At 37.5% G+C, this 25,095-nt stretch overlaps 1 protein-coding gene across 15 annotated transcripts in view, besides 1 other annotated feature; it reads right to left on the bottom strand.

The window, feature by feature from the left end:
• The window catches only part of AP3S1 (adaptor related protein complex 3 subunit sigma 1), a 72,147-nt gene that overhangs the window by 11,512 nt on the left and 35,540 nt on the right, over positions 1-25,095 (bottom strand). For 10 of the 15 annotated variants that reach the window (NR_157084.1, NR_157087.2, NM_001002924.3 and 7 more), the window contains one exon: positions 7,412-7,483. The exons of 4 other annotated variants lie outside the window; for them this stretch is intronic. Coding sequence is in view for 8 of the 11 variants with exons in the window: in NM_001002924.3 (NP_001002924.2) it covers positions 7,412-7,483 (72 nt within the window). In the remaining 3 variants the exon portion in view is untranslated. Of the gene's footprint in view, positions 1-3,780; positions 3,922-7,411; positions 7,484-25,095 lie in introns of all 15 variants that reach the window. One more of the 15 variants, NR_157085.1, reaches the window with a different exon arrangement.
• Positions 21,879-22,076: a silencer, noted in NCBI's record as "fragment chr5:115216191-115216388 (GRCh37/hg19 assembly coordinates)". NCBI's record gives its function as "represses an EF-1alpha promoter that drives an FKBP-Casp9 reporter gene in an ReSE screen in K562 erythroleukemia cells {active_cell/tissue: K562}" and the evidence as "EXISTENCE:reporter gene assay evidence [ECO:0000049][PMID:32094911]".

Raw genomic sequence — 25,095 nt, 5'->3', positions numbered from 1 at the left:
CCATTATTATTATTATTATGTGAAGTTTAATACTAAAATATGATTTATAAGAGCCTTTTATGCCAGATTCTTAGCCAACAATAATTAGGTTATTATTTTACACTCATGGTACTTAATGAAGCAATGTAGTACAGTACTTCTAACAGGCTCTAGATTGGAAAAAGGTAGAATTTTTTAAATTGTGGGTACTTTAATAGTGTTTTTACCCCCAAATCCTCTACACATGTAATATTCAGATTTCTTCTAATAAATACATCTTACAATGACTAAAAATGATGTCTTCCATTGGGGAGTAAAAATATAACTTCTGTCTTTTCATAAGGTATTATTGGATCAAAAAATCAACAATTCAGAACTGAATTACATTTCACAGAAGAATCTATTCTGCTATAATTTTTTTAAAATAATGTGGTAAGGTTAGAAATGGAGACTCCAAAATTAGATAAGTATGAATACAGACTCTACCACTTATTACTTGTAGCCCTTGAGCAGTTACTTCAGCTCTCTGAGTCTGTTACCTTATTTACGAAATAGAGACAGAAATAATATAGGCACCTCATAGGATTACCATAACAATTAAATAAATAATTTATGTAAGTGCTTAGCATAGAACCACTAGGTATTATACGGTAATTTTTTTTTCAACAAACTCTTTTTAGGAGTTAAATATGTATTACTCAATTTAAATTTCTTTGTAAGATTTCACGCAAATTTATTCATAATTTAAAAAATATCCCTGGAGGCTGGGTATGGTGGCTCACACCTGTAATCCCAACACTTTGGGAGGACAAGGTGGACAGATCACTGGCAATATGGCAAAACCCTGCCTTTACAAAAAATGCAGACAATTAGCCAGGCATAGTGCCTCACGTCTGTACTTCCAGCTACTCGGGAGGCTGACCCAGGAGGACTGCCTGAGCCCGGGAAGTGGAGGGTGCAGTGAGCTGAAATCACACTACTGCACTCTAGCATGGGCAACAGAGTGAGACCCTGCCTCAATTAAAAAAAAAAAAAAAGTCATCATTATTTACTATTTTTCATTTTGGAAGCATGGACACCTCATGCACAAATTCTGAAGACAAATTTATATAAATTAATCTTCCTAGCCAACCAAACCAAACCAGACATGACAGTGTTTTGAAAACTACCGTAACTTAAAAAAAAAAAAAAAAAAAAAGAATATAGGCAAATGACTAAAAGTTCATACAGAAACTTATGTATGAACAACAATAGTCTCTACCACACTCTGCATCCGTTTTTAGGTCCCTTTATCCAAAGCTACTCAGCTAGCTATATCTTAGGTATCCTAGAAAACTTGCTGTGCACATACTTGTTATACGTGTGTATATGCATATCTAATTTACACAAATGAGAACATATTATATACATTAATTTTCGCAGTTCTGCAAGAAAATAAAGAATTGAAAGTTAGAGGAAGGAAAGAATGAGAAATTAAGTTAGGAAAACCATAAAAGAGACTGGTGCCTGATATACATATGACAGTGATAAATGAAACTGTGTTGGTAAGAGCAAACAAACAAAAATATAAAAATTTAAAACAGTGAATCAACATTAATTATTAGACACATATTTTTATAATGAGATCTCTCACTGATCTCTGTCAGAGAAGCAAGCTGCAAATATGGAAAACGAGAAAGCCAGAAGAAATTCTGTAGTATTGTACTAGATTCTGAGGTATTAAGAAGTGGTCAATGATTTTTAATATCATATCAAGATCCAGAAACAGCTGTGCGTGTATACATACATCTATTTCCCAGCTCAGTTCACTAAGAACCAGGAGTCATGTCACCCCAGTAACAATGAGCAAACACAGTGCCCAAATCGTCATTTCTAAACATCATTCTCTACTGAAGGAAGCCAGGGTTCCTTGGAGAAATGGCTGACTTGAGGGCTGGAGCAGAAAATACGTAAGATGCTCTGTTCATTGAAAAGGCCATAAAACAATGAGCAACTTCATAATCATGAGCACCTCTAGACTGTAGTTACTATATACCATCGCCAACAAAAAGGAATCAGGGCTCCTAGAAAAGAATGGTTGACAACATGTCTGGAACAGGAAATGAATAAAATGAGTTTAGAACATCTAGCTGGACCACAACACAAGACAGCTACCAAAGCCTATGACGGGGTAGGTCAGGTCAAATGAACTAGCAAAGATAATCTGAAGGGGTTCCCACTGGCCAAAGATGGGCAACTTGAACATAATAGAAAATAATGTCTGCAACTGATTAAAACAAATCAAATATATTAAAAATTTTATGCCATAGGATACTAAAAAACTTAAATGATCTTTTTTGGTGGATATTAGAAAAGCAACCAGTTATGAAAATTGGTAACTATAAAGAAAAATACTCTAGAATTTATCTGGCCTTTCCTATATAAACTGTGCCTTTTATTTAAGCCCATCTTTGTCTTCAGTAAATTATTTCATTCTGTGCACTTTTAGTGTATTGAATATTATTTCTACCTTTAATTATACTTTCTCTTTTCTCCCAATATTTTAAGTTTGATCTAATTTTATTACACTATTCTCTTCCTTTTAAATATGAAACTCTACTGTGCTTATACTTCCCATTAATATATATCTCTCCCTCTTAAATGACTTTATTATTATTTATAAAACAAATATCAAGTTTTCTAGACCACTGAGAGACCTTGTTTTCCTACTAAAATACTTTAATTATTCCTCATTCTTCTTTCTCTCAATTGGATAAGATCCTCCAAGTACTTGTATAATAGATGTTAAATGTATCCTTCAAAGTCTCTTTTCTTCTTCTTCATGTTTTCTATCTTTCAGTCTTATGCTTTGGGATTATTTCCTACACTTGATCTTCTACCTTTAATTCAAGCCTCAATTGTGATCACCTTCTTTAAAAGTTTTCAGTCTGAAAAACTCTTTTCAAGCCCAAGAAGACTTTTCCAAATCTTAAGTACTTTTAAAATCATTTTAAAATTTCAAGTGAGGCCAGGTGGTGGCTCACACCTGTAATCTCAATGCTTTGGGAGGCCAAGGCAGGAGGATCACTTGAGGTCAGGAGTTCAAGACCAGCCTGGGCAACACAGCAAGACCCCAGCCATACCAAAATAAATAAATTTTAAAATTATAAAATTTCAAGTGTTACTCTATCTTCTCCAGTAGTTCTTTTCCATGGAGCGTAATTTCTGATTGTTCAATCTGTTAATCTCTCTTGTTCAGATGGCAGTGCTTTCTTTCTATTGGCTTACTGTGCTCAGGGCTGGCTTCCAAGATGTTATTAATGGCTAGTAGCTCCTTTATTTGGTGAAAGTAAAAGGAGTCTCTCGTTCTGTGCCTGTGGTTAAAGACCAGGCTGTCCAAATCCTCAAGAGGGACCAGGTTGGAAGAAAGCACTCTGCTCTTAAGTCTTTATTCTCTCAGCCTCAAGGGTATGAAAGACACAGGCCTCCGATCAGATCTCTACCCTAATCACTTGTGGAGGCAAGTGGGGGAATGCAGAGAGGAGAATAGAGTATATTAACAGCTGTCATTCTCAAAGTCATACATCCTCCAAACCAAGCCCTGCACAGAATCTTTAGCTCTCTCATTTTGCCCTGGATTTTGATGCTTTCTTCCAATATGGGCAACAACACGGGGCCACCCAATTGGAGCCACACTATACAGGAAATGGGCAGATAACTCAGCAGCTCCCCCAGCAAATCCACAATAAACATATAGTGTAAGTAAGAAACAAACTGAATGATTCATATTTTAGGATTTTAGGGGTAATAACCACAGCATACCTTAGCTGTATGTGATAAAGGGTCTGACTCCATTTTTGATGTGTGTCTGCTCACAGCCTTCAAGTTCTACTAGTCCCCATTCCTCTTCTGCCCCATATCTGGGCAAGCTGTTAAGAAGGTCTGGATGCTCCTTCCTTTACACTAGTGGAAAGTTCAGACTACCTAAGACCTGGCCCACATGCAGAAATCCTCACACCCCATCCCCACCACCAAACCACCATAAAACCCAAGCCCCGTGTTGTTCTCTGTTTTCTCCAGAAAGCCTCATTATGTGAGTAATAAATCTTTTCCTATCCTCTTGGGGCACCTGTGACATTGTTAGTCTCTACATCCAAACCAATTGTGAGTAGGGGTGGGTCTGTCCCACTACTTCAGGGTGACTACACTAGCCTATGTGATTGATACAGTTATTAGCATGTAAAGATTTATAAAAAGAAACTAGTAACAACCACAATAAAAGAAAATGTGTGACAGTGGTTTACAGGTTGGGCAGCTGGCCACATAGAAACTGTTACATTGGAGGCTGGAAAGTTACTGATCCATGTTTGTAGTGGCAAAATACTTGGTACAATTATCATCTGTGATACCCTGAAAAGCAGATAAATTTACCCAATGAAAACTTTTTTTCTCTCTGACATAGAAACTAACAATGTTCTGGATAGTGGCAGCTTTGTTACCATGGATCCCAAAATGACAGCATGTGGAATATGATAAACATACTGCGTGAATGGGAAATAACCCTTTTTTGTTTTAAGTGGCTAACATTTCCATGTTCGCTACTGCAGCATAAATTAGCTCATCCTGACTGATAACAAAAGGGATATTCTCTACAACTTTCTCTTTTCATCTACTCAGTTGTGACCCAGAAGCAGTCTGAGGGTTGTGTGCAAACCTCCCTATGTCTTGCCTTTAAGAAAATGTGAGCTGTGGCCGGGCGTGGTGGCTCACACCTGCAATCCCAGCACTTTGGGAGGCCGAGGCAGGCAGATCACGAGGTCAGGAGATCGAGACCATCCTGGCTAACACCGTGAAATACCATCTCTACTAAAAAAATACAAAAAAATTAGCCAGGCGTGGTGGCGGGTGCCTGTAGTCCCAGCTACTCGGGAGGCTGAGGCAGGAGAATGGAGTGAACCTGGGAGGTGGAGCTTGCATTAAGCCGAGATCGCCACTACACTCCAGCCTGGGTGACAGAGCGAGACTCCATCTCAGAAAAAAAAAAGAAAATGTGAGCTGAGCCAGTCAGAAGATCCCTACTGCTGGAAGGTCCAGAGCTGCTTAAAAGTTGAAATTTAAAAAAATATATCTATATTTTTAAGTTGAAAATAATTTTCATCAAAGGGCTGAAAGCAAAGTTAGCATTGTCTTGGCGAATAGAAAGGAAACACTTATTTGATCTCTGTCTTTTGGTATCCTAAAACTTTTGTCTCCTTGCCTTGAAAAAATAAAACAAGATCTTAGCCCAGAGAAAAGAGAGACAGCTAATTTTGGCAGGTTCTAAAATAGTGATATAGTGTTGTGTAAAATGAACAGGCTAACACAAAATACATATTGTATGATCCCATCTTTATTGTTTTAAAGATGTATTTGTTTAAAGATTATTTGTTTTAAAGATGTAAAATCAAGTACTATACATATTCTAAAATGTTAACACTAGGCAATCTCTGGGATAGGGATGATTTTCACATATTTTTCTCTCTGTATTTTCTGATTTTTCTAAAATGAATGCATACTAATGAGAAATAGAAGTTTTAAAAACATTTTGTGTCATGTATGGAAGTTGCAGATGAGTACAGCTTAATTTCCTTAAAAACTTTTATTCTCTTTCTCTAGTAAAAAAAATATAAGAACCTTACTCTTACCATCACATTTCACAAGAGAGTCCTCAATTTTCTTAAAAGATGGTAAATGTATTTACATAAGCTAATGATGACCTCTCAGCAGTCATTTTAAAACACAGCTTTCTAAAAATTTTAATCATGTACCAAAACATAAATTTTTTTCTTTTTTGATACAGGGTCTCACTCTGTCACCCAGGCTGAAGTTCAGTGGCACAATCATGGCTCACTACAGCCTCAACCTCCCCAGGCACAGGTGATCCTCTTTCCTCAGCCTCCCAACCAGCTAGGACTACAGATGCATAACACCACACCTGGCTAATTTTTGTATTTTTTGTAGAGACCAGGTTTTGCCATGTTGCCCAGGATGGCCTCAAACTCCTGGGCTCAAGCAATCCTCCGGCCTCAGCCTCCCAAACTGCTGGGATTACAGACATGAGCACCTGCACCTGGTCTTCAAACATAATTTTGAATATTGTGAACCCTAATGACTAAAAATAACAAGAGTCTTTGTAAGTGTGAAAAAGCATTAGACATAGCAATTAGAGAAAAACAGTAGAACATTAAAAACAGACTCATAAAAATATCATGCTTAAGTACACTGTCCAAAATGAATTAATTTATAAAATCAAATCACTTGGTAAATGAGAGATATGATCTAGAATACTGGCCAAAGAGAAAAGTATTTTTTTGACATTCACAAATAATGAAATGCATTCTTTGTACTACTTTGATTGTGATGCTGGTTACATGTACTATACACACTAGTCGAAACTTAGTTTTGTAAGCTTAAAACTGTTGACTTTTAACACCTGTAAATTATGCCTCAATAAAGCCAATTTTTAAAAATCACACTGGATTTTTTTTGCTAAAATTTTCAGACTCTTACTCAGTAGTTGAATCACTCATAAAGAATCTCTTAGATTATACAAACCTAATACAGAAAAAAATCTGCACATAGTGAAAGTGGAATCTCTTCCTCCTAAGTTCCGTATCACAAATATCTACTAATACTGGCAGAAATCTGTCATTCTTTCTCTCACCTTCAGCTTTCAATAAGCCATCAAATCCCATCAATTCTACCTTCTTCCAAACCTAATCTTAGCGTTTTTCCTTCTTTCAAACCTCATCGTAGTGTCTTAGTCATTTCCTTCTGGACTACTGCAATAAACTCTTAATTGATTTCCATGTGTTTAATTTCCCAGCCTATCAATCCAATCTCCATAATACAAGAAAAAATCACTCTATCAAAAAAATATACAAACAAAGCAATAATAACGTCAGTAAAAACTTGTTTAAAAACATTAAATTGCCTCACAATAAAGTTCAAAGTCATGGCATTAATGGTTGTTTTAAACTAGGCCTGTTGATCAGTATCAGTCCCTCCTCACAAAAAGGCCTATATTTTATATCTCTGTCAGTAGGACCATCCTCTCCTTTTCTATGTATGATATATCTACTAATCCCTTAAAAATCCAGTTTAAATGTAGTTTCCTCCATTCACAGTCTCCTAGGCAGAGGTAAGTGGTTCAGCTGTGTCCCCATTAACATGCTACACATACTATTATTATTATTTGTTAATGCCGTTGTTTCCACCCTTCGATGTGAACTCCTCTAAGGCAGGATCTGAATCTTCTCCACCAAGCACAAAGCCTGGCTCATAGTAAAAAAAAAATTATGAATTGAATAATAAAAGAATAAAAATAGAATTATTCATTAAAGCCATTTTTGCTATGACAATTATAAGTTAATGTTTTTCTTAAAAAGCTTAGATGTGACAATACAAATAGTACCTTGTCTACATGGAAAATCAAATCCAGCTCACAGACATTTTCAAAACATTTGTCTAATGTTTCCACAAATACCTATGGAAAAAGAAAAAAGGTTTTAAGAACTGTTTAAATTTATTCAAAACTATTATCTATAAGGAAGGCAATTCTTAATTATGAACTAAAATTTTGTATTATACATTTATCTTTTTCAAACTAAAAATTGTATTAATGCAAAAAAAGTAAAAAAAGAATAGAGTCCTACCAAGTTTAACTACAGATAAATTACTTTTCAATACATAAGTATAGAAAACAAACTTTTTTTGAAAAGGACTAAAACTAGAAAGTCTTAGCACCATTTCTTACAAAAGCACTTAAAAATACTCAACTAAGCCTCCTTATTTTAATGTGAGGGGGAAGAAAGCTCATTAGGAAATATCCATCAAGAGAGGTAAGGCACAGTCCAAGTCCCTACTATATCTAATGCAGCCAGTAATTTTTAATTATCAAATCAGTATAAAAGACCACTAAAAACTACTTAGCGAAAAAGCACAGACTTTGGAATCAGACTTACCTGGGTCCAAACTCTAAACTGAATAACTTGTATGACCTCGTGGGAAGAGTCACCTCAGCAGGCTTGCGTTGCTCAAACTCTGCACATTCCCATAAATGGACTGTTTTCAGGACTAGCCCTTGGCCAGCTCCTGAGAACTAAGCTCCAACCTTTCAGAAAGTTGTCTGATTAGAGTGTTTTTGTATGCTGGAGGTCTTGGGCCATGCTGTACCAATTTGAGCAGGTACTTCATGTTAATAATGTGATTTATAGTGAATGCCTGCTTTTTCTCCGAGGATCTGAAGCTTAAGTAGCCAAGGTCAGTCATGCAGGCATGACATACCTATGTGACTGACCCCCAGGGTAAACATCCCTGGTTGGGAATACTCTGTACACATTATGACATATTTTGGGGGAAATTAAGCATGTCCTGTGTAACTCCAGTAGAAAGGAACACCTGACAGCTTGCAACTGGAGTCTTCCAGACTTCATCCCATGTGCCTTTGCTGATTTTACTCTGTATCCTTTCACTATAATAAACCATAGCATGCATATAGCAACTTCTGAGTCCAGTGCATCCCAGTAAATCATTGAGATGATCCTGATGATCTCTGATGCAAACCTTCAAAAATCAATCTCTTAAATTCCAACTTGCATAGTTGTCACTGACTATTCTATTCCCATTTCTATTCTCACCACCCTTTTCAGTGGTAACTTAAGATAAAGGGACCATGTAATTTATTATCCTAAATGGGGTAGTATTAAAAGTAAAAAGGAACAGCTATTAATAATAAATTATATAATAGTATGCAACATTATTATAATGTAATAACAGCCTGGAACAACAGCTATAAACCAGGACTATCCCTAGTTTATTGAAATGAATAGTCATCCCACTATTCACAGGTGATCCTATGGGGAAAGGGGTAAAATGTAAACAAGAGGCTTCTTGCTATAGTTGCTCCTATGTAGGGCACGTTTCTACAAATCCACAATCTAAGGTTTCTTCCTGGCATCAATGTTAGATGGCTAAGTGGACATGTAACTACAGTTCATCCTTGAACAACGTAGGGTTAGGGACTCCAGCCTTCCAGGCAGTTGAAAATCCATGCCTAACTTTGACTTCCCCAAATCTACTAATAGTTTACTATCGATGGAAACCTTACCAATGACATAGTTGATTAACACATATTTCATATTTCGCAAAAAATGTGAAATAACGTTTTCATGCCTGCTGGGGTACGACTTCATGAAATTTCCTAAAAATTTCCTTTTCTTGTTGTACAATGGTCTATATGCTACATCCACTTATCTTGAAATGGAAAGCAACCACAGCTGCAGATTTCAATCTAAGGTACATATCAAGTGATTCAACTTTTGCTGGTAATGTCATGACACTCTCTGCTTCTTGGGGGCACTTCCACCATCGCTAGTGGCACTTGGTATGGGAGTTACTGTGGTGTTATTCAAGGATTACGATATTGAGTAAACATGATGAAAAATACACAAGAACCAGAAGGGATTACTTTTTGCTTATGGGGAAATTATTAGCAGGACATAGCAATTTAAGCAGATACTCAAAACACTTGACCTCACCACAAGGAGGTGACAACAAAATTATTATAGTTAATATATACAGTTAATTTTGTCTAGCTATAATTTATTTTAATTTCTGTGGGTATACAATAGGTATATATATCTGTGGGGTACATGAGATGTTTTGATACAGGCATGCAATGCATGATAATCACTTCAAGGAAAATGGGGTATCCATCCCCTCAAGCATTTATCCTTTGTGTTACAAACAATCCAATTATACATTTTTACTTATTTTTGAATGTGCAATTCAATGATTATTGACTATAATCACCCTATTGAGCTATCAAATAGTAGGTCTTATTCATTCTATTTTTTTTATCCATTAACCATCTCCACAACCATCTTCACCTTTCTCCAACCCTCCACTACCCTTCCAAGTCTCTAGCAACTATCCTTCTACTCTCTATGTCCATGAGTTCAACTGTTTTGACTTTTAGATCCTAAAAGTAAGGAGAACATATGATGTTTGTCTTTCTGTGTCTGGCTTCTTTCACTTAACATAAAGATCTCCAGTTCTATCCATCCATGTTGCTGCAAATGACAATATCATTCTTTTTGCTCGTACTCCATTGTGTATATGTACCACATTTTCTTTATCCATTATTCGTCTGCTGATGAACACTTAGGTTGCTTCCAAATCTTGGATATTCTAAACAGTGCTGCAACAAATATGGGAGTGCAGATATCTCTTTGACACACTGATTTCTTTTCTTTTGAATATATACCCAGCAGTGAGCTGGATCCTATGGTAGCTCTATTTTTAGTTTTTTGAGGAACCTCCAAACCGCTCCCCATGGTGGCTGTGCTAATTTATGTTCTCACCAAGTGTACAAGGGTTCCCTTTTCTCCACATCCTTGCCAGCATTTATTATTGCCTGACTTTGCAAATAAGCCATTTTAACTGGAATGAGATGATATCTCACTGCAGTTTTGATTTACATTTCCCTGATGATCAATGATGTTGAACACCTTTTCATATGCCTGTTTGGCATTTGTATGTCTTCTTTTGAGAAATGTCTATTCAAATCTTTTGCCCATTTTTTGGTTAAATTATTAGGGTGCATGAAAGTCTGAAATCCAGTGGGGGAGTCAAATCTTAAAGCTCCAAAATGATCTCCTTTGACTCCATGTCTCACATCCAGGTCACTCTGATGCAAGAGGTGGGCTCCCACGGCCTTGGGCAGCTCCAACCCTGTGGCTTTGCAGGGTACAGCCTCCCTCCTGGCTGCTTTCACAGGCTGGTGTTGAGCGTCTGTGGCTTTTCCAGGAATACAGTGCAAGCTGTCAGTGGATCTATCATTCTGGGGTCTGGAGGATCATGGCCCTCTTCTCATAACTCCACGAGGCAGTGCCCCAGTACGGACTCTGTGTGGGGGCTCTGACCCCACATTTCCCTTCCACACTGCCCTAGTAGAGGTTCTCCATGAGGGTCCCACCCATCTGTATCCTTTGTAATATTCTTTATAATAAGTGGGTAAATGTGTTCCCCTGAGTTCTGTAAAGTGCTCTGAGAAATTAATCAAACTGAGGAGGGGGGTCACAAGAATCCCAATTTACCATCACTCAATCAAAAGTACAGGTCACAACCTACTACTTGCAACTGGCATCTGAAGTGGGGGCAGCCTTGTGGGACTGTGTCATGGGATCTGATACTATCCCCACGTAGATACTGTCAGCACTGAATTACAGGACACCCAGCAGGAGAACTGCTTGGTGTGTGGGGGACAAACTCCCAAATATCTGGTGTCAGATGTATTGTACTGAGTGACTGTGGAAGTAGAGGCAAAAAAAATCTTGTATGTTCCCTTTACAACAGGTCAGCCACAAGTGAGATTTTAGTTTAATTTTTTGGTAGGTAAAAAATTAGTATCATTTAGTATCCACCCAAACTCCCAACTTTATCTATTTCTCCTCAAGGCCCTGGTGACATGGTGCCTGAAATGACTTTACTCATTCTATTTCTAACTAATTCAGATACATTTTTCCTCTTTGATACAACAGACTCCTGTTATGAGGACTGAATGGGGTAATGCTGCTTGAACACAGAGTAAGCAATTAACAAATATTAACTTTTTGGAGAGAGTAATAATAGGAGTGAAGAGAGGAAAATTTTCACTGTTACCAGGGCAGCCCTGATGAAACAGCTGGGAAAGGTCTTTTCCTAGACCCCTATTAATGGGCACATCTGCTTAAAGAAACTAGACAGCCTGGGATGATACCAGAGCTCCGGAAACAACTCAAGTTACTGGTGACATTTCCATTGAGAAAGAAGAAAATATTTACTTTTAAAATAGTCTTTAACTTAGAAATCATTTGAATACTTATTTAGAAAATCATAGTTAAAAGTTATGGAAAATAAAGCCACTTAAGTTCCACCCCCACCTAAGTATTTACTTAAGTGTAACATACACATAGAAAAGTACAAAAATCATAACATATAACATAAATTTTTCTGTATAATCAACACTCAAATCATGTTTTAACATTACCAGCATTATAGAAGCCTTCTCAGAGTCCATCAGTCACTTATCAACCATCAAAGGTAACCAATACCCAACTTCCTAACACTATGAATACATTTTATCTATGTCTGAACCATATTAAAATGAGATTATAGGATACATGCTCTTTTGTGAGTGGCTTCTTTTATTCATTGTTATTTTTTGTGAGATTTATTCAGGTTATTACATAATACAACAGCTAATCATTCTTAGTTGTACAGTATGCCACTGAATTAGAATATCACAGTGTGTCCATTCTACTGGTGACATAAATTTGTGTTGTTTCCAGTATGGTGCCATTACAATTAGTACTGTTAAGAACATTTCTTACACATCTTTTAGTGAACATATATATACGTATACACATATCTACTGATTGTATACTTGGAGTAGAACTGCTAGGTCAAAGAGTCGTGTAGGTTAAGCTTTAGTATACAGTGTCAAATAGACTTTCAAAACGATTATACGCACTTAGACTTTAAATAGCAGTATATGAGAGTTTCTGTAGTTCCATAGCCTTTTCACCACCTTATGTTATCCATCTTTTAACTTTAACCATACTCAAGGGTGTGTGGTGGTATATGATGGTATTAATTTGTACTTCTCTGATATAAGACTGCGTACCTTTTCATTTGTATTACCCATTTAGATATCTATTTTCATAATGCCTGTTCAAGATTTCTGCTCATTTTCTATTGGTCTTTTTATCATTTTTTTTTAAAGACATGGTTTCACTATGTTGCCCAGGCTGGTCTCAAACTCCTGGGCTCAAGCAATCCTTCCACCTCAGACACCTGAGTAGCTGGGATTACAAGGGTCTGTATTTTCTTATTGATGTATAGGAATTCTTTATATAGTCTAGCTACAGTCTTTTGTCATATGTATTACAAATACCTTTGCCAGTTCTGTGGCTTGCCTTTTCATTCTCCTAACAGTGCCCTTGGAAGAACAGAATTTTTCCATTCCAATAAAATCCAATTTTTCAGTTTTCTTCTTTGTAGTTAACATTGTTTTATGTCCACTTTAAGGAATCTTGGCTTACAGCAAGGTCAGGAAAGAGATTCACTCAGAAGAAAACAAAAGCTTTATTATTTTACTCTTCATGTTTGGACCAAATTTATCTGAAATTGATTTCTGTGTATGACGTGGAGTGGTCTTACTTGATTTTAAATCATTATTAGATTTACTAATCAGAATACAATTTCCAGTATGCCTTTATTTTTTCTTTCTTAATTTTTCTAGTTCCATTGATTACCTATATGTTGCAGTCATACTTTTTTAACCATGAGAAGACCATCTTGGTAAAAATGCTGTCTAAATAGTTCCCCTTCACTTACATGTATTTATAAAAGATCAGCAGAACCTACTAAATGTGCAGATTATATTGGGCAAAAAAGAAAAAAAAGTTCGTGATAGCATTAAGTGTGCCTCTGGTAAAGTATGGAGTGGTAAAAAACATGGGTTGCCTATAGAGGCAGCACAGTACTGTGTTGAGGATACATGCTTTGAAACCAGGAAGACATACATGCCTTCAAATCCCTGCTCTGTGGCCTCAAGTATCATTTAACTCCTTTAAATCTCAGAACTATAAGATAGAGATAAAACTACTTACTTTTCTGGATTATCATAAAAATTGAGTTAAACAATTTAGATAGAGTGCCCAGCACAGTTCCGAAGACCCATTTAATAAATGGCAGCCAGAATTATTTATCTGGCTGTTCAAAATACATGATAATTATAAAATTAAAATAGAAATAGAAAATTATAATTCTGCTGATAAATACTGATATAAAAGGAAGATAACTACATGCCACAACTACCAAGACACTGTAATTTGTTAACTTAGGAAGAAAAAAATGCTGTCCACATTTAATCCAGAACAATATCACATGTAAAAAAATGTGAATACTATAAAAAAAGTACCCTGCAACAAAATGTCATTATAACTGCATGTTATTAATTTATGAAAAAAATTCTTAAAATTTAAAGCACTCAGATACTCTGTTCAGTTTTAAAAAATCAACAAACCTTCTTCAAAAGACTTTCTAATTTTCTTTTGATTTAGCAAAAATTATTTAATATCATCAGAAATCTAGAGCCCTAAGGTCCATCACACACTGATGATCTGTTACATGCACAAGGCCAACAAAAAACAAATAACTGACAATCTGAAGTGAAGAAATTAAGGGGGAAAAATTAGAGTCTCGATGGTTCTAACCATAACAACAATAAAAAAATTGCTGTTGCATTATTATTTCACAAGTAGAAAGATAAAAGGAGCTAAGACCTAGAAGTATCATAGTAAACAGCACCCTCTTGTGCTTCAACTTTAAAATGATATAAAGTTTAAAGCCAATTTCAATATAACAGGTATCTAACTACTACTGAGTAGCTACTCAGGTGCCAGGGATATAAAACCAAAGACCTAAACTCTGTCCTCAAGGAATTCAAAAGCTGGTGGGAGAAAAATTACTTCCAATTTACAAAAAGAATAATATTTTAAATTGTCCTGCATTTTAATTACCTAGTATTCAAAAAATAAATATAAAAAGTAAATAGATTTCGAAAAATGCCTCCTCCAAATATAAAGAGTCCTCCTTTCCCATGCTATTCTAGTTATAAAACATGCTTGTGTTTTCTTTATCTTTACATCCAAGCCACAAAGAGTAACCTATACATCCAGGCCACAAAGAGTAACAGGTATCTATTATATGACAGCTTTGTAGTTAGTACTCAAGAGCACAAACTTTAGCATGTGTATACTTAAATTCTAGCCTTGCCTCTAACTCTGAGATCCAGGGCAAGTTATTTAACACTAAGCCTCAGTTTCTTATCTGGGCATAATAATGGTAACTATATCATAGAGTTGTTTTAGTGATTAAATGAATAAATATAAAGGGCTTACAACAATGTCTCACAAAAGAAAACACTCAATATACATTAGCTAGTATTATAATACCAAACACACGGAGAAATAAAAATGTACACAAGATAAAATAAAAATACCACAAATTACCCTTAAACAATACCACTTATTTGGCAGACCCCTTTTTGAGTTTCTAAGTAAAAAAAAAAATTGGTTTCTGGGTTTAGAAATTTCTGTTAAAATTCAGGAGAAACAGATCCTGCTGTTTTGAATCTACAATAATAAATGAAAAAAAAAAAGGGTTACACTGACATGTTATAAGATACGAAAAGTCTTTAGTGCAAAAATAGGAGGCATAAATTTAAGGATACTAATATGCTGAAGCCAAAAAATTATTTTTTTATCACCAGCAAGATGTTCTAGAGAGAAATATCTTGGTTTAACTCAAACCAATAACTAAAAAATACCATTACAAATATTGAATGTACCAGCAGAGCTAGGGAAGACAAACTGAACGTAAAATCACATCATTTACCTTTGAAGAACAATTATGAATGTAGCCTAGGTACACTCTCCAATAGGTACCCACTGCATGTACTATTAAGAATCTTTAAAGTATGGTGTTTAAGATATGTAAATAGCACTTGACTCAATATATGACTGCATTCTGGACTGGATTTCTATTAAACCTCACTTGGACACTCACATGCCAGTGATGACAATGTTAGCAAAAACAGTCATTTATTGTGCATTTACTATGTACCATGCACTTAACACATAATGAACTCAACGTCAATATAGAGAAATTAAGAGCTGAAGAAAGGACCATCTACCTTCTATATCATGTCATAATAATTCTGAAAGAGTTTACATTAATGATTCCTTCTCTGTGATTTATAGAAAGTTAATTATAATAACAGCTAGCATTTACTTGGTACAGGTGATCTTTGAACAACAGTGGGGTTGGGATGCTGACTCTCCACACAGTTGAAAATCTGCGTACAACTTTTGACTCACTAAAAACCTAACTACAATGGCCTGCTGTTGACCAGAAGCCTTACCGATAACATAAACAGTCGACTAGTACACATTTTTTGTTATATGTATTCTATACTGCAATCTTACAATAAAACGAGCTAGAGAAGAAATGTTATTAAGAAAATCATAAGGAAGAGAACATATATTTACTCTTCATTTAGTGGAAATGGTTCATCATAAATATCTTTATCTTCGTCTTCACATTGAGTAGACTAAGGAAGATGAGGGGTTGGTTTTGCTGTCTCAGGGGTGGCAGAGGTGGAAGAAGTGGAGGAGGTGGAATGGGAGGCACGAGAGGCAGGTACACTCAGTGTAATCTTTATCTTAAAAAATCTGTGTATAAGTTGACCCACACAGTTCAAACCTGTGTTGTTCAAGAGTCAACTCTACACAGTATTGTGGCATTACCACTGTTCCGACTGCTTTAAGTATATTATTTTATTTGAGCCTTTGCAGTAATCCCATAAGGCAACTACTTTTATCATCAACCATTTGCAGAAGAGTAATCTAAAGCAAAAGGTTAACCACTAACACTTAATGGTAGAGTCCTGATTCAAATCTCAAAAATCTAATTCCAGAACCCACATCAACAACAAATAATATATTATTTCTAATGTAGTAAGAAGTGATCATTTAGAAAATATGGAAAATACAGAAAAGTATAAAGCAAAAATTTGAACTGTCCATACTTACAGCACCCACATAAATCTACTGTTAACAGTTAAAATCTCATTCAAAACTTCCTTTTAAGTGAAGAAATAGAAAAAGAACTAACTACAAACACAGGCTTTTCACACCATTCTTTAAAGTATTTCATCCACCTAAATCAAATGATAAAATTTAAGGAGAACAAAATAAATTAACAAAAGTATTCAACACGGTGATGGTTAATATTAGCTGTTAACTTGAGTGAAGGACGCCTAGATAGCTGGTAAAGTATTGTTTCTGGGTGTGTCTTTGAGGGTGTTGCCAGAGGAGATTGACATTTGAGTCAGTGGACTGGGAGAGGAAAACCTGCCCTCAATGTGGGTGGGCACCATCCAACTGGCTGCCAGCGTGGCTAGAACAAAGCAGGCAAAAGAAGGTTAAATAACCTTGCTTGCTGAGTCTTCTGGCTTTCATCTTTCTCCCATACTGATTGCTTCCTTTGGTTCCTCCTGCCCTGAAACATCAGACTCCAGGTTCTTCAGCCTTTGGACTCTTGGATTTACACCAGTGGTTTGCCAGGGAACTCTCTGGCCTTTGACCACAGACTGAAGGCTGCACTGTTGGCTTCCCTGTTTTTGAGGCTTTTGGACTCGGACTGAGCCACTACTGGCTTCTTTCTTCCCCAGCTTGCAGACGGCCTATTGTAGGACTTTGCCTTGTGATTGTGTGAGCCAATTCTCCCTAATAAACTAACTCCCCTTCATATATACATATATCCTGTCAGGTCTGTCTCTCTGGAGAACACTGACTAATACAAATGGAAAGTCATTAATGTTGTCTTTGGAACCAGGAGGAAGATAATGAAATATCTCAAGAAAGCAGAAGAAATGGAAATACAACTAACATGGTAAATTATGCTGGCCGTCATGTTAGTGCAGACTTCTGGAAGTAGAAAGAAGTAATAATAGTTAAGTTCATAATATTAAGTTATATGGCTATGATTTCAACCCAGGAAGAACTCTGAGATCAACCATTTTTCTATGTGATAGAATGTCTGTATCAGTGTTCCTATCAGTGTGTTAGTAAAGAATCAGTCTTGGGATCAGGCCAGGGCCTCTCAAGTCAACATGTAATAACCTCAGAAACTAGGAAAAAAAAATGGTTGCCTTACTAGTTAAGTGATTTTTTAACCCAGAAAAATTTAAAGTAACAGAAATTATGATGTGAACCTATAATATTAATATTTTCATGTTAAGTTTAGAAAGACTCTGTATAGTTGATATTTAAATACTTAAGCCTTAAAAAATGTGGTATTGTAAGAATACTTAACAGACTAGGCTTTTATAAATCTATGTAAACGTGAATATCCAATTGGAATGGGATTTTTCTTGTTGTTGTTGTTGGAGACGAAGTCTCACCCTGTCACCCAGGCTGGAGTACAAAGGTGTGATTTCAACTCACAGCAACCTCCACTCCCCTCCCCGCCTGGGGTTCAAGTGATTCTCCTGCCTCAGCCTCCCAAGTAGCTGGGATTACAGGCGCGCACCACCATGCCCGGCTAATTTTTTGTATCTTTAGTAGAGACGGGGTTTCACCATGTTGGCCAGGCTGGTCTCAAACTTCTGACCTCGTGATCCACCTGACTTTTTAAGCTGAAAAGTAAAGGAAAATTTGCCTACACTATTAGAATACTTAAGATAACTTAAGAGTAACCATAATATATGAACTTCTAAAAATTAAGAGATATTTAAAAATTTGAGAAAGTATGCCAAAATATGAGCATAAAAATAAAACATATTAAATATATAAATTCCGTTTAAAATACAGGCACTGCTTGTTTTATAGGGTACCACATTAATAGATCTCAGCAACCACTGAACTGTGCAAAGTGATAAACATGGTTTCTATAAACATGAATTATTACCATGGTAATCTGCAAAGTGAGGAGTGCTTGTACTATAGGAAATTTAATTGTTTCAGTCCCTCCATTTAAGCGACTTAATTTGATTTGTATGTTGAATTTAGAATTCTAAGAAAGAACCGGGTTTATGAATTTGTTAAGGTTAATAAGTATTATTAAAACTGAAAGTAACCTCTGAATAATTTCTTTCTGTGTACAAAACTACTCCTGAGAACATTTTTTAAAGCTCATATTGATATAAATTGTCAAAACTATATTTAAACTCCCAAGCAAAAGCTGATTTTTAAAATGGTATTTCGCCTAAAAATACATTCTTCTACCTATAGTTGAATATGGTATGATTGATATTTTGAGCAGTGACTTTAAAAGAGTAAAAATATTACAAAGGAGGTGGATGGCAAGATGGCCGAATAGGAACAGATCCAGTCTGCAGCTCCCAGCGAGATCAACGCAGAAGGCGGGTGATTTCTGCATTTCCAACCGAGGTACCTGGCTCATCTCATTGGGACTGGTGAGATAGCGAGTGTAGCCAACAAAGGGTGAGCAGAAGCAGGGTGGGGCATCATCTCACCTAGGAAGCGTAAGGGGTTGAGGAACTCCCTCCTGTAGCCAAGGGAAGTTGTGAGGGACTGTGCTGTGAGGGATGGTGCCACCCAGCCCAGATACTACACTTTTCCCATGGTCTTTGCAACCCGCAGACCAGGAGATTCCCTCGGGTGCCTATACCACCAGGTCCCTGGGTTTCAAGCACAAAACTGGGTGGCCGTTTGGGCAGACACCAACCTAGCTGCAGGAGTTTTTTCTCATACCCTAGAGGCACCTGGAACACCAGTGAGACAGAACCGTTCACTCCCCTGGAAAGGGGGCTGAAGCCAGGGAGCCAGGTGGTCTAGCTCACTCAGTGGATCCCACCGCCATGGAGCCCAGCAAGCTAAGGTCCACTGGCTTGAATATTTGCTGCCAGCACAGCAGTCTGAAGTCAACCTGGGATGCTGGAGCTTAGTCGGGGCAGAGGCGTCTGCCATTATTGAGACTTGAGTAGGCGGTTTACCCCTCACAGTGTAAACAAACCCACCTGGAAGTTCAAACTGGGCAGAGCCCACCACAACATGGCAAAGTCACTGTGGCCAGACTGCCTCTCTAGATTACTCCTCTCTGAGCAGGGCATCTCTGAAAGAAAGGCAACAGCCCCAGTCAGGGGCTTATAGATAAAACTCCCATCTCCCTGGGACAGAGCACCTGGGGGAAGGGGTGGCTGTGAGCACAGCTTCAGCAGACTTAAACGTTCATGCCTGCCAGCTCTGAATAGAGCAGCAGATCTCCCAGCACAGTGCTCGAGCTCTGATAAGAGACAGACTGCCTCCTCAAGCGGGTCCCTGACCCCCGTGCCTCCTAACTGGGAGACACCTCCCAGCACGGGTCAACAGACATCTCATACAGGAGAGCTCTGGCTGGCATCTGGCGGGTGCCCCTCTGGGACGAACCTTCCAGAGGAAGGAACAGGCAGCAATCTTTGCTGTTCTGCAGCCTCCTCTGGTGATACCCAGGCAAACGGGGTCTGGAGTGGACCTCCAGCAAGCTCCAGAAGACCTGCAGCAGAGGGGCCTGTTAGAAGGAAAACTAACAATCAGAAAGGAATAGCATCAACAAGGACAATAAGGATGTCCACACAAAAACTCCATCTGAAGGTCACCAACACCAAAGGCCAAAGGTAGATAAATCCACAAAGATGAGGAAAAACCAGTGCAAAAAGTCTGAAAATTCCAAAAGCCAGACTGCCTCTTCTCCTCCAAAGGTCCACAGTTCCTCAAAAGCAAGGGAACAAAACTGGAAGGTGAATGAGTTTGATGAATTGACAGAAGTAGGCTTCAGATGGTGGGTAATAACAAACTCCTCTGAGCTAAAGGAGCATGTTCTAACCCAATGCAAGGAAGCTAAGAGCCTTGATAAAAGGTCAGAGGAATTGCTAACTAGAATAACCAGTTTAGAGAGGAACATAAATGACCTGATGGAGCTGAAAAACACAGCAGGAGAACTTCATGAAGCACACACAGTATCAATAGCCAAATCAATCAAGCAGAAGAAAGGATATCGGAGATTGAAGCTCAACTTAATGAAATAAAGCTTGGAGACAAGATTAGAGAAAAAAGAATGAAAAGGAACAAACAATGTCTCCAAGAAATATGACACTACATGAAAAGACCAAATCTATGTTTGATTGGTGTACCTGAAAGTGACAGGGAGAATGGAACCAAGTTGGAAAACACCCTTCAGGATATTATCCAGGAGGAATTCCCCAACCTAGCAAGGCAGGCCAACATTCAAATTCAGGAAATACAGAGAACACAAAGTTACTCCTCGAGAAAAGCAACCCCAAGACACATAATCGTCAGATTCACCAAGGTTGAAATGAAGGAAAAAATGTTAAAGGTAGCCAGAGAGAAAGGTTGGGTTACCCACAAAGGGAAGCCCATCAGACTAACAGCAGATCTCTCTGTAGAAACCCTGCTGGCTTGTAAGCCAGAAAACAGTGGAGGTCAATATTCAACATTCTTAAAGAATTTTCAACCCAGCATTTCATATCCAGCCAAGCTAAGCTTCATAAGTGAAGGAGAAATAAAACCCTTTATAGACAAGCAAATGCTGAGAGATTTTGTCACCACCAGGCCTGCCTTACAAGAGCTCCTGAAGGAAGCACTAAATATGGAAAGGAAAAACCGGTACCAGCCATTGCAAAAACATACTAAATTGTGAAGACCATTGACACTATGAAGAAACTGCACCAACTAACAGGCAAAATAACCAGCTAGCACCATAATGACAGGATCAAATACACACAAAACAATATTAACCTTAAATGTAAACAGGCTAAATACCCTAATTAAAAGACACAGATGGGCAAACTGGATAAAAGGTCAAGACCCATCAGTGTGCTGTATTCAGAAGACCCCTTCACGTGCAAAGACACACACAGGCTCAAAATAATGGTATGGAGGAATATTTACCAAGAAAATGGAAAGCAAAAAAAAAAGCAGGGGTTGCAATCCTTGTCTCCAATAAAACAGACTTTAAACCAACAAAGATCAAAAAAGACAAAGAAGGGCATCACATAATGGTAAAGGGATCAACCCAACAAGAAGAGCTAGCTTTCCTAAATATATATGCACCCAACACAGGAGCACCCAGATTCATAAAGCAAGTTCTTAGAAACATACAAAGAGATTCAGACTCCCACATAATAGTGGGAGAGTTTAACACCCCATTGTCAATATTAGACAGATCCACAAGACAGAAAATTAACAAGGATATTCGGAACTTCAACTCAGCTGTGGACCAAGTGGACCTAATAGACATCTACAGAATGCTCCACCCCAAATCAACAGAATATACATTCTTCTCAGCACCACATCACACTTATTCTAAAATTGACCACATAATTGGAAGTAAAATACTCCCCAGCAAATGCAAAAGAACAGAAATCATAATGAACAGACTCTCAGACCACAGTGCTATCAAATTAGAACTCAGGATTAAGAAACTCACTCAAAACCTTACAACTACATGGAAACTGAACAACCTGCTCCAGAGTGACTACTGGGTAAATAATGAAATTAAGGTAGAAATAAATGAGTTCTTTGAAACCAATGAGAACAAAGATACAATGTACCAGAATTTCTGGGACACAGCTAAAGCAGTGTTTCAGTGGAAATTCATAGCACTAAAATCTCCACAGGAGAAAGCGGGAAAGATCTAATATCGACACCCTAACATCACAATTAAAAGAACTAGAGAAGCAAGAGCAAATTCAAAAGCTAGCAGAAGACAAGAAATAACTAAGATCAGAGTAGAACTGAAGGAGACAGAGACATGAAAAACCCTTCAAAAAATCAATGACTCCAGGAGCTGGTTTTTTGAAAAGACTAACAAAATATATAGACCACTAGCCAGACTAATAAAGAAGAAAAGGGTAATCAAATAGACACAATAAAAAATTATACAGGGGATATCACTACTGATCCCACAGAAATACAAACTACCATCAGAGAATACTATAAACAACTCTACGCAAATAAACTAGAAAATCTAGAAGAAATGGATAAATTCCTGGACACATACACCCTCCCAAGACTTAAACCAGGAAGAAGTCGAATCTCTGAACCAGACCAATAACAAGTTCTGAAATTGAGGCAGTAATTAATAGCCTAACAACCAAAAAAAGCCCAGGACCAGACAGGTTGACAGCCGAATTCTACCAGAGGCACAAAGAGGAGATGGTATCATTCCTTCTGAAACTACTCCGATCAATGGAAAAAGAGAGTCTCCTCCCTAACTCATTTTTTGAGGCCATCATCATCCTGATATGATACCAGAGCCTGAGAGAGACACAAGAAAAAAGAGAGAATTTTAGGCCAATAACCCTGATGAACATTGATGCGAAAATCCTCAATAAAATCCTGGCAAACCGAATCTAGCAGCACATCAAAAAGCTTATCCAACACAATCAAGTCGGCTTCATCCCTGGGATGCAAGGCTGGTTTAACATACGCAAATCAATAAACGTAATCCATCACATAAACAGAACCAGTCACAAAAACCACATGATTATTTCAATAGATGCAGAAAAGGCCTTTGATAAAATTCAACACCCCTTCACACTAAAAACTCTCAGTAAACTACGTATAGATGGAACATATCTCAAAATAATAAGAGCTATTTATGACAAAACCATAGCCAATATCATACTGAATGGGCAAAAGCTGGAAGCATTCCCTTTGAAAACTGGCACAAGACAAGGATGCCCTCTCTCACCACTCCTATTCAACACAGTATTGGAAGTTCTGGCCAGGGCAATCAGGCAAGAGAAAGAAATAAACTGTATTCATAGAGGAAGAGAGAAAGTCAAACTGTCTCTGTTTGCAGATGACATGATTGTATATTTAGAAAACTCCATAGTCTCAGCCCAAAATCTCCTGAAGCTGATAAGTAACTTCAGCAAAGTCTCAGGATACAAAACCAATGTGCAAAAGTCACAAGCATTCCTATACACCAATAATAGACAAACGGAGAGCCAAATTAGGAGTGAACTCCCATTCACAATTGCTACAAAGAGAATAAAATACCTAGGAATACAACTTACAAGGGATGTGAAGGGCCTCTTCAAGGAGAATTACAAACTACTGCTCAAGGAAATAAGACAGAACACAAACAAATGGAAAAACATTCCATGCTCATGGATAGGAAGAATCAGTATCGTGAAAATGGCCACACTGTCCAACGTAATTTATAGATTCAATGTTATCCCCATCAAGCTACCATTGACTTTCTTCACAGAATTACAAAAAAGTACTTTAAACTTCATATGGAACCAAAAAAGAGCCTGTACAGCCAAGACAATCCTAAACAAAAGGAATAAAGCTGAAGGCATCACAATACCTGACTTCAAACTATACTATAAGGCTAGAGTAACCCAAACAGCATGGTACTGGTGCCAAAACAGGTATACACACCAAGGGAACAGGACAGAGGCCTCAGAAATAATGCCACACATCTACAACCATCTGACCTTTGGTAAATCTGACAAAAACAAGAAATGGGGAAAAGATCCCTGTTTAATAGATGTTGGGAAAACTGGCTAGCCATATGCAGAAAACTGAAAGCGGACCCCTTCCTTACACCTTATACAAAAATTAAGTCAAGATGGATTAAAGAGTTAAACGTAAGACCCAAAACCATAAAAACCCTAGAAGAAAACCTAGGCAATACCATTCAGGACATAGGCATGGGCAAAGACTACATGACTAAAACACCAAAAGCAATTGCAACAAAAGCCAAAATTGACAAATGGGATCTAATTAAACTAAAGAGTTTCTGAACAGCAAAAGAAACTATCATCAGAGTGAACAGGCAACCTACAGAATGGGAGAAAATTTTTGCAATCTAGCCATCTGACAAAGGGCTAATATCCAGAATCTACAAGGAACTTAAACAAATTTACAAGGAAAAAGCAAACAATCCCATCAAAAAGTGGGCAAAGGATATAAACAGAAACTTCTCAAAAGAAGACATTTATGCAGTCAACGCACATATGAAGAAAACCTCATCATCACTGGTCATTATGGAAATGCAAATCAAAACCACAATGAGATACCATCTCATTCAGTTAGAATGGCGATCATTAAAAAGTCAGGAAACAACAGATGCTGGCGAGGATGTGAAGAAACAGGAACGCTTTTACACTGTTGGTGGGAGTGTAAATTAGTTCAACCACTGTGGAAGACAGTGTGGTGATTCCTCAAGGATCTAGAACCAGAAATACCATTTGACCTAGCAACCCCATTACTGGGTATATACCCAAAGGATTACGAATCATTCTACTATAAAGACACATGCACACATATGTTTACTGCAGCACCGTTCACAATAGCAAAGACTTGGAACCAACCCAAATGCCCATCAGTGATAGAGTAGATAAAGAAAATGTGGCACACATACACCATGGAATACTATGCAGCCATAAAAAGGATGAGTTCCTGTCCTTTGCAGGGACATGGATGAAGCTGGAAACCATCACTCTCAGCAAAC

Source organism: Homo sapiens, chromosome 5 (assembly GCF_000001405.40).
Source record: "Homo sapiens chromosome 5, GRCh38.p14 Primary Assembly".
NCBI lineage: Eukaryota > Metazoa > Chordata > Mammalia > Primates > Hominidae > Homo > Homo sapiens.
Note: the sequence above shows the minus strand (reverse complement) of the source record. Positions and strands in the feature narration are given on the sequence as shown.